The sequence below is a fragment of the Homo sapiens genome, chromosome 8 (genome assembly GCF_000001405.40).
Source record: "Homo sapiens chromosome 8, GRCh38.p14 Primary Assembly".
In the NCBI taxonomy this organism is placed as follows: Eukaryota; Metazoa; Chordata; class Mammalia; order Primates; family Hominidae; genus Homo; species Homo sapiens.
In genome coordinates this window covers 13,962,719-13,976,512 of record NC_000008.11, presented here as the reverse complement: position 1 = coordinate 13,976,512, position 13,794 = coordinate 13,962,719, and the positions used below count along the sequence as shown (strand labels likewise).

Genomic DNA, 13,794 nt, shown 5'->3' with positions numbered 1-13,794 from the left:
ACGCTTTTCTTGGAGTTGTTTGCTTTTGTTTCGTCTGAACCTGTTGCTGTTTTGAGTTGTTGGTTCCTCCAATATATGAGGCAAAAGAAAAGCCAAGATGTCCAGTCAGTCTGCCCTCTTTTCTCTATGTATCACAGGTTTCTTATGCTTCTTTTATGCATAAGGTCCATGGTTTTTAATTGTTTTTAGCAGGAATAATTTTAAAATACACTTAGTCTATGTTCTCAGAAATAGATGTCTCTGAGTTCTATAATTGGAATTATAGCAATAATCTTCATTATATGTTTATTGTCATTGAATTTATCTGGTTCATATTACAGTAAAGACAAAACACCTTTTTGTAATGGCTTAGCCATTCTGTTAGTTTCCCATCATTTAATAACCTTTTTTTTTTCTTTGAGACACCGTCTTGCACTATTGCCCAGGCTGGAGTGCAGTGGTGTGATCTTGACTCACTGCAACCTCTGCCTCCCAGGCTCAAGTGATCCTCCCACCTCAACCTCCCAAGTAGCTAGAACTACAGGTGCATGCCACCATGCCGGCTAATTTTTGTAATTTTTTTTTTTTTTTGGTAGAGATGGGTTTTGCCATGTTGCCCAGGCTGGTCTATAACATATTCTTAAGTTAAAAGATAATTATTTCATTTATTTATACCCTATCTTTTTCTGTACTTTGTCTTTTATAGTTATTATTTTCACTTTCATTCTATTTATGTATTTTTCTTTTATCTCTACCCTCTGGAATAACTTCCTGAACTTGTTTTGTGTAACACTGGTTCAGTTTTTTAGAACATCAAGTACATCAATTTGTTGACTTTATTTCTGGCATCACATGTTAAATGTATCTAAATTTCTTTCTCATTTTATCTGATTATTTTTATGTATATCTTCATTGTTCCTCTCTGTTTTCCCAGAGGCACTATATTTTTCAACATTGTATTAAGAATTCCATAGGTATTTCTAACATTTTTTTTCTGAATGCTGCAGCACTTATTTGAAGAGGTACATTCTGTGAAGTTCATGTAATATTAACATATTTTTATAAATAGCTTTTTTATCAATCTTATGGTTTCTTTTTTCCTCTTAAATAAGATGAGCCAAATTCTGTGCTTGGCATTGCGCACTTTGGTGGGCTTCCTTTTCCCTATTTTCCATCTTATATTGAAATCTTTAAGTAAGTGTCATTGATCTACACCTGGGATTCAGTGCACAGCTAATTCTCAGTAGGTGGCAGGTTCTCAAACCATGTTGTTCTTCTTTAAAAAGGAAATATATTTCCTTATCCTCTCTGTTTGTTCTATCTACCATAATAAAATACCACAGACTGGGTGGCTTAAGGAGCAGAAATTTATTTTCTCACAGTTCTGGAGACCAGACGGCCCTCAGGGTGCCATTAAAGTTGTTTTCTGGTTAAGCTTTCTTCCTGACTTGTAGATGCCTGCCTTCTCATCGTGACCTCCCGTGGCCTCGTCTCTGTGCATGCACACACACACAGAGATCTCTAATGCCTCTTCCTCTTCTTTTAAAGACATTGGTACACTCTTACAACTGAATTTGATCTTAATTACTTCCCTAAAGTCCAATCTCTAAATACAGTCACATTGGGGATTAGGGCTTCAGCATACAAGTTATGTGGGAGAAAAAAGTTCTGCCTGTAACATGCTCCTAATTTGCTGATACTCTAATTTTTAAAATCACATAAAAAGCAATGATTCCTGGTACACACTGTTACCAGGTTTCTTCTCCCCACCCTAACAACAGACGCTTTTTTGTTGGGATTATTTCTCCCATGAAGCAAAAAAAATGCCACGTATATCCACCCCAGTCGTCAGATGGCATGTAAGTATACACAACTTTCTTGTTCATTATTTTCTGGTAGTTCTGCAAAGACAGTGTTTGGGCAACAAAAATATCACTACTTGAGACACCTCAAAAAATAAGTTACACAAGACATAGCTTTCCAGCTTTATGTCAAGCTCTGGTTTCTGAGGTGTTAGATAGCCTTTTCATCTTTCATGCCACTTGAATTTCTTTTTTAGTCATTATCTTTCATGAGGAAACTGTTGGTGAACAGAATGGGAAAATATGCTGGTTTCCTTAAACTGAACATGGTTTTTTAAGTAATTATTTAAGCTTTCTTTCCTAATCCCTCCTCAGATTTCTCTTACTTTTGTATTATGGTGTGTTGGTTTTCATTTTGGGAAGTTAGGAAAGATTATGTTCAGTATTCTTACACATTCGCCATTGAAAAGAAAATATTAGGGAAATAAAATAGCTTTAACTGCTGAACATTTAAGCCACACAAGTTTAAAATTTCAATTGACCAACAACACAACCACTGTCCACATCATAAACCTGTATCATGAGGAGATTTTCATCTATAATTACAGCAGAGAGAAAATAAGACTTTGCGATCTTCCTTGAGTTTGAAAATCTTATTTTAGGAACAAGATATAAATGGGCAAGAAGCAATTAAAAAGTAGCAAATACTCAGGGAATAGCTGTATGTTGCTACATGAGAGCTGAGGAAACACATCAGAGTGTATTCAAGCTTCATCTACAGAATCCTTTGGCAGAAGGTACGCCTTAAAACTATTGGATTTTTCGCGACACAGTGTTTTTCCTGCCAGGAAGTAGCAGTTTAATTGGACTGGTAAAAAATAAAAATTAAAAAATTAAAAAATTAAAAAAAATTGCTGTCTTTCTGCAGAGTTTTGCAGCAATTCTCTTTGTCTTCCAGAGACCAAAGGAAATACTGCACCATGGGGAAGAGGCCTATATTGTACAATGACAGAAAACAACTGGGCATTTACCTTCAGTTCTATTTATTATCATCATACATTTTATAATGCCTCAGCCAAGCAGAGGGAAAAATAGTCTGGCTGGGCCACCTCAAGCAATTATCTGGTAACAAATCAACCCATCCTCACTATGACCTTAAAAAGAATTATTCCTCTTGTATAATTCTTTACAATTTGAAATTTATTTTCAAAACTATTCAAAAAATCAAATTTGAATGTTCTCACTGGGAAAAAAATGGCAAGTATGTAAGGTGATGGATAAGTGAATTAGGTTGATATGATAATTACACAATGTATACATATATATAACAAAACATCACATTGTATCCGATAAATGTAGCCAATTATTGCTTGTCAATTAAAAATAAAAATTTACACAAAGCTTTGTTTTAAAGAATGATTTCTTATATCAAAGGCCCAAAACTTATTTCAAGTGTCTTTGAATAAACAAAAGGAGGAAAAAAAACAAAATCTGGTGTTTTTGTAGTTTTCTTCACACAAACTATTTGAATTCAAATCCACTGAATCAACAAATAATAGTTATGATGTTAAATGTGAGTGTATATGTGTAAAATAATCAGGGTGTGAGTTATGAGAATATGCGATTTGATAATCTTGTTAAATGTTAGCATTGAAAGGTGTAGGCCACTTTTGTATTCTTCAAGAATGGACCTAATCTGCAATTTGACAGAATGAAAAATATTCACAGATATTTACCCGCTTGTTATATTTAATTTTTCATGTTTCAATATTTTAAAAATTAATGAAGTAATATGACATATCTTTAAATCAATTATCCAAATAAGGTATTACAAACATTAAACAATTAAAAACTTTTCAAAATTAGTACTGAATTTAACAGTGTTCATTGTTTGATGAATATAATTATGGTCTTCTATTTATATAAATAGAAATGATATAATAGCTAATTATAATCATAAAATACAGGGAATGATTTTAAATAGCCCAGACTATTATAAGAGAGAAATGTACTTAGAGAAGGGGAGATATATTGCTCCAAAATTATAGCTACTGCTTTCCTTGGGATTTCAAAATAGTGCTCAAAGGAATTTGTCTACTTAAATAAAAAGAAGCAGTTTAGCATGAAGCACCAATGCCTTTCAATGCTACTGATCTATGCACTCTCTTGGAATTCCTAAACTGTGATAGAAAATTCATTTCACACTTGTTTACTCTGATAAAATTCATAACTGAATTGTTTAAAAATGTTGAAAACAGAGAATGATTATTGGAATGCTCCAAAGTGTGGGGCACATTGGAATAAAAGTAGGCCTCCAAGCAACTATGAAGCTGGCCAACCTCCCTATGTTGAGCTGCCTGGAATATTGTTAAAGCTGGATACGGCACATAGTTTGCCAACTGGAACAAATATAAAAACATAAAAATTAACTTGTATGTATAAAACATAAAAATTGCATAAATAAAACAAACATTAAATTATTAATAACACATTTACAGATATGCATATGCAAAAGTGCATTGGAAAAATTAACATCAAATGTTAGGCTTCCCTGATGCTAATTCTCCCCGCCACATTCATCAGTAACTGATAATACAACTCTTCTCCAGGATTCATTTCCTGCCTATGCATACATTTAAGGATAAAAGAGTTCCAGGTTAGTTCTTGTATTTTTTCTGTGTATATTTCTTAAGAACTGCTGTTTTACATCCTGGGGTTATCAGGGATTTTTTAAAATCCCGCAGTTTGGGGAATAACAGTATATGGAATTGACGTTCATGCTGTTATTCTTTTCTGATTTTTCATTCACAATTCTCTAACCACTTTTGACATTTCCTAGCTTGAACTCTTCTTCCACTAATTCTTTAAATATCAATAATCCTCATTGCTTCATTTCTAAACGTATATTCTTGTCATCCTGTGCTCATATTGCAAACTGATTACTGGACATCCCCACCACTGACTCGAAAAGTTAAGCTTTTTTTTTAACCTAGAAATACACTACCTATTTTATTTTTCTGCAATCTTAATTATAAATGAGACATCATTGTCAGTCATCCAAGCTAAAATCATTAGACTTTTTTTAAAAAAAACTCTCCTTGCTAACATCAAAGTTATGAATATTGGTCCATATACTCACCTTATAATATATGGAATTATTCAACAATTTTTTTCATTACCATTGCCTATGTCATAGTTGATAATTTCACACTGAAATTTCTACAACGGCATATCAACAGATTTCCCTAATGCTAAGTATTACCCTCCTTACTCCATTCTTCAGATTATAGCCCAAGTAGACTTTCTGAATTGAAATTTGATTAAATAATTTCTCTGTTTCAAGCTATTAACTGCTCCCCAGTTTCTTCTGGAAGAAGTCCAAATGTATTAAGACAGTAGTCAGTATCCTATATGATTTGATTCAAACCTTTCTTCCAATATCATCAACCACTGATTTTCCTTTGTCTCTCTCTTTCCTTGTTAACAATTTTACTATTTGCCCTAGTCACATAAACTATATGTTTTGTTTTGTTTCTTTCCTGACCACTCTTCTGTAGTGACCAAAATTTGGCCATTTCTGTTCATTGCTCGTGTGCACAGTACACAACATTGAAAGTACATGTTTTCATATCTGCATTCCTAAGTCCAAGAGTACCGTCAGAGTGGGAATGATGCTTGCTTATGCCTGAATCCCTAGATTTTATAGTATCTAGGGATACATGCCTGGCATCATGTAGGTTCTCAATAAATATTCATTGAATCAATTAATTAAGCAAAGAAAAATATACCGTACTATCAAGCGATTTACAAACTTGAGAAAATATCCTACAGTTAGACGGTCTGTTATTGCTACCATTTGGAGATCTCATAATACAACGGTATCTAACCTGGAGTTTTGCCTCAATGTTATTTTTCCTCTTGACTACTCAGTATTTTCAAGACATCTCAATGTAATACACGCCTCTAATGAATTTATGAATCAGTGTGTGATCTTGAGACTTACAGTACTGAAACCAATCTTAAACATTCTTAGAAGCAGCAAAAGATTATTACTTCATGAGAGTCAGCTAATATCTAGAGAAGAAACAAATTATCAATTAAAATGCTTCCAGTTTCCTCAGGTGAAAATAAGTGGTACTAAAGAACTAAATTTGAAGTGTATTGTAGCTTTTCACTTAATTTTCCCCAAACAGGTAAGGTAATAAATGCCTCAGTCTTTTCCCACTCTTGTGAATTTATTCACATTTTTCTTACACACTCTATTCTCTGACCCCTGATTCAATTGGAGTTAACAGGCTTCAGTGACTTTTATCATTGTTTCACGGGCTAGGCCTGTGATAAGAAAATATTTATACTATAATTACAGATATTGAAGAAAAATAAAATGCTACTTAAAGAAATTCCTTTAAAATTTTTGGTATTTAAGCAGCTGAGATCAACAGCTTACAACAATTTTTGAGTGCTACCCACTTTTGTCTCAGACTGTACATACACAAACATACACATATAGAAAATTAATAAAGTTTCAGAAAAGTATATTTAATTTTTTAATCTAAGTAAGAAAATGCTGATGATTAAGCATAAAATTGATTTCATAAGCTGTTAATGGATTGATCCTTGTAGCACATACAACAAACTTACATGATCTGATTTGTAGTTGTAAATGCCAAATATTTATTTTCTCTTCATTTTCCATACGGAAAGTGAGCAAAATTATGAAGCTCTACTGAAATATACATCATCTTACTGCCAGCTGTATATAATCAGAATGTTTTAGCCTAAGAAATAAGCAGCCTCTTCATGGTTTTGGCTAGGGGCAAGTCTCTCACTAAGCAGCAGGGTTGGATAAAGCCACTGGCTCTATGGACATATGCCCTTCGCCCTTTGCAATGAACTGGCCTTTCTGGCTGTAAAGAAGCTTGACTATTTGTTTTGTTTTTTTAGCAGTACCAACAGCCATAGCATTTGTGTTGGGTGGTTTTGGGATGAAAATACGCACGCACACACACACATACACACATATACATGTACACATATATGTGCATATTTCCTGACATCTTCATTAGTCACTTTTGTCTCAGTGATTATCCTTGCTTTGGAGTTAAGTTAGAGGGCCATGGTGGCCTGATGAGCTAGTAAAGCTTAACTGTATCTTGTAGTCGTTAGAAGAGAATATGTGCATTAACATGCCTTGCTGTTATCAAGTAACTCACTTTACAACCCTGGTGGCTCTTAATTCCCATTGCAATAATATTTTTTCTACATTGCTGGAATCAATTGACCAGTTTCTTAATTGTCTCCTGTAGGTTACTTTGACAATCCTTGTCTGTCTTCCAGGAGCATAGGGCAGTTGTTTTCAAACTCTTTCTTTCTTTCTTTCTTCTTTTCTGAGACAAAGTATCACTCTGTCACCCAGCCTCGAGTAAAATGGAGTGATCTCGGCTCACTGCAACCTCCTCCTCCTGAGTTCAAGTGATTCTCCCTGCCTCAGTCTCCCGAGTAGCTGAGATTACAGGCACACACCACCACGCCTGGCTAATTTTTGTATTTTTTTAGTAGAGTTGGGGTTTCACTATGTTGGCCAGGCTAGTCTCGAACTCCTGACTTCAGGTGATCTGCCCACCTCGGCCTCCCAAAGTGCTGGGATTTCATGTATGAACCACCATACCTGACCTCAAACTCTTTTTTCTTTTTATTATTTTAAGCTCAGGGTTACATGTGCAAGTGCGTTATACAAGTAAACTCTTATCGACTGCTGAACAGAGTATGAAATACTCGCCCCAGCCTCAACAGCTCCTAGTTACTCCTATTGAAGGTACTGGTAGGATTGTAGCAATTAACCCATAGGCTAGTAACCCCAAAATCCAGGTAGAAACAAGAAAACTTTGGTCCATCTTAAATTCTTCTTCCCCTAAACTATTGAGATAATTTTCCATTTTGTGCCCCCCACCCCACCCCAAACTTAAGTCAGGGGGAAAATATGGTAGGTCAATCATACCATGACACTGCATGTTGCTTTGTTATTGTCCAGATTGGAGTAAACAGTTGAGGAGATGCCAACGACAAATTGGTAATTACATTAACTATACCCTACTTTTCTAAGGTGAGTATTTACCATGGAATCAGATGCTCCTGCTCTTTTCTTGAACTGAATTTGAGTCTGTCTTAAAACAAAATTTCCCCAACAGTCTCTAGTAGTCACTTTCATTTCTTCTATAGCATTTCTATGGGAAAATGCAGCCTGATTTTTTGGTGATCAGATGACCCTTGTTAAATTGCACATTTGCTGTGGCTCTTAGAAATAACTCATTCCAATCAAGTGACATATCTGGATGGAATGAAGAAGCAGGGAAGTCATTGTTTACCCTCTGATGGTAGAGGAGCTGACTGTTGTATAGTCACTCGTCATGGCAGGCTTTATTTTTGTTTACAAAAGAACACATATAAATTTGAATTAATCTCCTACAGATAGAAAGTTTTCTGCAAGGAACATGGTCTACAGCTAATCTCTAGCCACGTGAACTCTAGGTGTATACATACAAATATATGTTTATATAGACACATATATGTAAATATATAAAGTATATATATATTAATAGAATAATGTTACTTTCTGGCAATAATACTTAAAAGGGACTTAGTCCAAATCAGATTCTTAGTTTTAGATCCCTGTATACCTTGGCATTTAAGCAACATAGATCTTTTTGAAGTGTTATCTCAGAAAATAATATACAGGAGTAAGGACAAGAGATAGGTGATGGAAGGCAGCCAAAAAAACAAGTACATTATCCAGCCATTTAGCATAATTATCAAAAGGAGTTGGATCCACTGGGAGACTCTGGGATCTAATATAGAGCCTGGGCCACAGAGTTATCCCGCTCAAGGGGTGGGGGAGCTGGTGTATTTATACACCAACTTCTGCTATACATTCAGTGACAGCCATTCCTGTGAAACATGAATTTCTTTTTACCTCTGACATTAATTCTTCAAATAAAGTTATGCTGTTCTAATATTTAAAAAAGCTCTGTGAATACTAGAACAAAAAGGTCCAAGTGTCAAAAACAGCTATTTTAGACAGGATCACTCTCTCTAAAATAAGAGAAAGGATGTTGGGGATCCAGAGGATGACAAGGGGAACTAAGAAGTATGCATCTGAGCAGTCCAGCTGAGGGCTTCATCTCTTATTCTGAATGTGTCCTACGAAAATGAGTTCATTTACTTAAATTCCTCCACCAGATTCTAATGAGCAACGCATATTTGTTCTACCATCTTCTCTTCCTTTATTGCACCCCTTTAGTTCTGTACTATATCTTCTTCCCAAATGTTCTTGAGGTCCAACGGGCTAATGTTGATATAAACAATTTGTCTTTTGTAATACTCCAATGTTTATTTATTTATTTTTTGACCAGGAGATAGGGAGAAAGGTGATAAGAGCAATAAGGTTCTTTGTTCCATCTATGGGTTCCTTGACTTTAGTGACTATTGCTAGACAAAACACTTTGCTTCCAAATTTCTGATCCAGCCCTCTTGATATCTTTTAGTTTATGTCTGTAACAATGAGGCTCCAGTCCATTTAAATCTGATTTTGAATTTTTTTTTTTTTTTTTTTTTTTTTGCAGTAAAGACTTTTAACTTTGTTAGCTGCGGGAGGCAGTAGGCTGAAAAACCTACATTGGGCTGGAATCAGAAGGATGTATTAGGGATCTCTTTCTTTTATTCTAAGTTGAATTTAGGAGACCTGCAGCCTTGGATCCTGTAAGGTGCAGGAGTAGGGGTAGGGAAAAGTCATAGGCAGCACAGCACAGACTTTTCTTGTCACGAACAGTCATGATCTGTCATTTGTGCTCATGTTGGTCTTCTTTAGGGAGCATTTTATGGACTCCTTGTAGATGTCCCCTCTGTTAACCTCTGTTGTAGCTTCTTTGTCTCAGAGAGTGCTTTCTCTATGACAAGCTGCATATGAGGTTGAATTTCGTCCAACAAAACAGCAACAGCTTTTTTCTGTTAATGTCATTTCATCCCTGGAAGGACAATCTTTTGGATGATATATCTTTTACAACCACACACATGATGGCTTCTTCCCTATGTGACCCACAGTGAACTGCAAGGAACTATGCACACTGTTGTGCCTTCAGGGGCAGTGCTCTGCCTTCCAATATATCCCACTCTTTTTACTTTCCACCAAAGAGAGAGCGACAGCCACAGTCTTTCCCTTTAAAATTTTCTCAGTATGGGTTACAACAGAAATTGGTTCTTTCTAAGCTTTTTAGGACATATTTATTATGTCTTTGTTAGCCCTTAAAAACTCTCTAGCTTTAATAGAGGGAAGGGCTAAGAATTCCCTTCCTACCCTCTCAGAAGCTACATTGGAAAAGTGCTGTAATACTCCAATAGCATTCACCAAAGGCATTTCTTCTTAATTTCTGCCCTTGATGGCTGAATCCCTACCTTTACTTGCATTGTCTAAAAATGGTTAATTAGTGTGACAGTTAATTTTACATGCCAACTTGACTAGCCATAGGGTGTCCATATGAAATATTATTTCTGGGTGTGACTGCAAGCATGTTTCAGGATGCAATTAACATTTGAATTGGAGGTCTCAGTAAAGCAGATGGCCCTCCCCAGTGTGAGTGGGCATCATCCAATCTGTCAAGGGTCTGAATAGAACGAAAGGCAGAGGAAGACAGCATTCACCTCTTTTTTCCTTCCTGCATGACTATTTGGGCTGGGACATCTCATTTCATCTTCTCAGGCCCTTGGACTGGGATTTACACCATTGACTCCTCTGGCTCTTAGGCCCTCACACTTGCACTGAATTATACCACTGGCTTTCTGGGTCTCCAGCTTGCAGACACCTTATCCTGGGACTTGTCAGCCGTCATAATTGTGTGAGCTAATTCTTCATTTTATATCTCATTTTGTATACATATAAATCTCCTACTTGGTTTTGGGAGGGAGGGAGGATGGAAGATAGATAGATAGATAGATAGATAGATAGATAGATAGATAGATCTTATTAGTTCTATTTCTCTGGAGAAGGATTACTAATACAATTAGTAAGTGTCACAAATTTATTTATAGAAAGTCTGTAACATTTATAATGCTTTAGCCTCTAATTCTGGAATTGGGAGGAGTTGACACCTATTGTCACTGCTCCAATGTAAATGAGAAACAAGAGAGAGACCCATTGTAACATTCCATTAGATTGGCTTAAGCCATTTATCTATACCCCCCCTTCACTTAGGAAAAAATTCAACCTGGCAAGGACAAGAGAATATATGGAGCTGAAGATGGGACAGAGTGTTCACATTAAAGTGGAATAATTTCAAAAAAAAAATGAAAAAGTGAGGACATTTCAATGTTTTCATATTTAGAAAATGAAAGCTTCATATAATAATGTTATAATATTTTCCATGAAATGGGTACAGAATATTCAATCTTTTCCTTAGTGTCACCTAATTTTTTATTATTATTGACAGTGGCTATGCCTAAGGCCTCCGTTACTGTTTATAGTACTGTTACAGATTTGTACCAAAGAAACACAGAGATTCTTAGAAATCCTGTATTTATGGCACATTAATAACTGTATATGCACATTACTTAGTATATGCTTTTGGGAAGTAACTTCTGTTTTGACTTGTTGTGAATGACAACAGAATTCTCCATGTACAATTGTACCTAAATGAAGTTTGGAGGAATTTTCCACAGACTAGTTTTCAGCTCCATGTATTCAAGTCCTTTCGTCTCCCCCACCACCCACAAGTTTCCAGTTATGCACACCTTAGGACACATTCAAGTTTGAAAGCAACCTATGCTCTTGCCTCTTTCTGTCACAATACTAAGTGAGTTGACAGTGGAAGGTGGTAGGTTTCCCAGTAGTCATTTCTACACTGGAACAGCTAGAAACAACTTAACTACATGTGGAAATGACTGTGAAGCACATCACTACATCCTATGAAATCCAAACTACAGGCTGTATCTCTGACTCACTTTCTCCTGCCTGGATATCAGCAAATACACGTGGCCACTCCAAAGGTATCTGGTATGAGGGAAAGTACAGTGAAGAAAGTTGCATGGAACAAGTCACTGGCATTCATTCAATGTGGTAAATTATTTTATTTTTGCAAAGTTGTAGAAACATATGACTGTCAAAACACATAGGCTAGGCCACTGCTAACAAGGGAAAGAATCTGTACATGTGAGAGCCCCTAACACTTAAGGTTCATTCATTTCATGAAAAATGTAATAAAAATATCAAGGTAAGACTTTTAATTTGTTTGCTTAGATAAGATTTACTAATGCTGGCTTATGAACAGAGCAGGAAGAAGGTGCACATGATCCTCAAGCACCCAGATTTGTGGCTGGGTAGGCAAAGCTGGGCGTGTTGCAAAGAACTCAAAAAGATGTTACAACTCTTTATCATTTGACTACCCATTGTTAATTTGTTGCCAAAAATATTTGCCCATGCAAAATTTTACAACTCATGTTTATTTGGGGGTAATAATTGAAATCGTATAATTACTCATCACAACTATTTATTTTTAGATAAAACATGTTGCTGTTACCTAGTTTCCTATTCAACAGGAACTTCTCTTTTGTGCCAACCTTACATTCAGGGAATGTTCCTTCCATTTTATATTCTAGGCCCTGTGAGGAAATAGAGGATATAGAAGAGGAAAGATAATCAATAATCTCTAGATTACAACCAAACCACTCTAGGGCAAAGTAAAGGTATGGCTGTATTATCTACAAAAGTCTTTTCTCTATCAAGCAAAGAGGATTAACAGCTACTAGGAAATCTAAGGTCTTAGGTGAAATGAAGCACAGTATATTACAAAGTTTATGTGTGATGTTCAGAGCAATTTTGTTCTTCAGGAAACCTTGGATCTTGGTTAACAACATTTTAAATTTTGAAGTCAAAGCACAAACTGTAGCAAAATCTCAGCAAAAGGCTTTCCAAGGATCTCATGAAGTAAACAAAATATATTGTGTGCTAAGTAAAATGCTAAAGGGAATTTCTTCTTTTAATATTTATGACATAATTCTGTGAAGGTCACTATAATCATTTCACGCATATTAAGACTTCCCCAAGTATATCAATTAGGCTGTTTAAATATTTAGATAATTATTAAGAAAATGTTAAAATGTAAGATGTTCATCAAATACTATATATTTTAATTTTAGGTTTAAATTATTTATTTTAGGTATATTTATTTTAGGTTTATTAAATTAATATCATGGTTGAGAACATAGGCTGTGAAATCATAGTGTTCTTGGAACAAACCTTGGCTTCACTATTTATTGTTGGTAAAATTTTAGCAAAACGCTTTAGCTCATTTTTTAATGGTGATATTAATACACCCATGAAGATGTTGGACATTAACATTAAGCAACTATAGCTCTTGGACCAGAGTCTGAAACATTATCAATGAGAACTTAGATTACACAGGGTGAGAAATAATGTTATACCCTCAGAGAGATTTTCATATAAATAGGCTTAAAATTTTTTAAGCATTTAAATTTACTCCAAAGAAAGGAAACTGTAATGTTGATACTATTTCTATAATCCATAACTACTCTGATAGTCTTAAGGAAAAATTATAAATTCAACAATAAAAATGTATACATACTTCTGAGAAATTCAAATAATTTCAAAGAAATATGCATTCCTGATTCACTGATTAACCATCACATATGGCCTATTTTTAGAATTTTTTTTAACACAGATGCATAATACACAAACGTGTGCACAGCTATGTTTATCAGAAAGAGGATAATGTCATATATACTGCTTTGTACCATGATTTTTTTCTGTCTAGAACAAAACATGTTCTAGACATGCGCAAATATATCTTTCTTAAAAGTAACTATGAGATGTTTTTATTTTAGTTAATTATTTCCCTCTTAAGAATATCTGACTTATCACTAATATTTGCTATTAGACAAAATGATGCATTGGATAGCATTTGTAGTGGAAATGTCACATTTAGTATGCTAATAAGTTACCTGGACC

The 13,794-nt window shown here is 35.0% G+C and overlaps 1 annotated feature.

Moving 5' to 3' along the window:
* Positions 521 to 690: an enhancer, noted in NCBI's record as "experimental_101507 CRE fragment used in MPRA reporter constructs". NCBI's record gives its function as "activates a minimal promoter by MPRAs in K562 erythroleukemia cells, with activity observed for the introgressed 8:13833417 variant allele {active_cell/tissue: K562}" and the evidence as "EXISTENCE:reporter gene assay evidence [ECO:0000049][PMID:34662402]".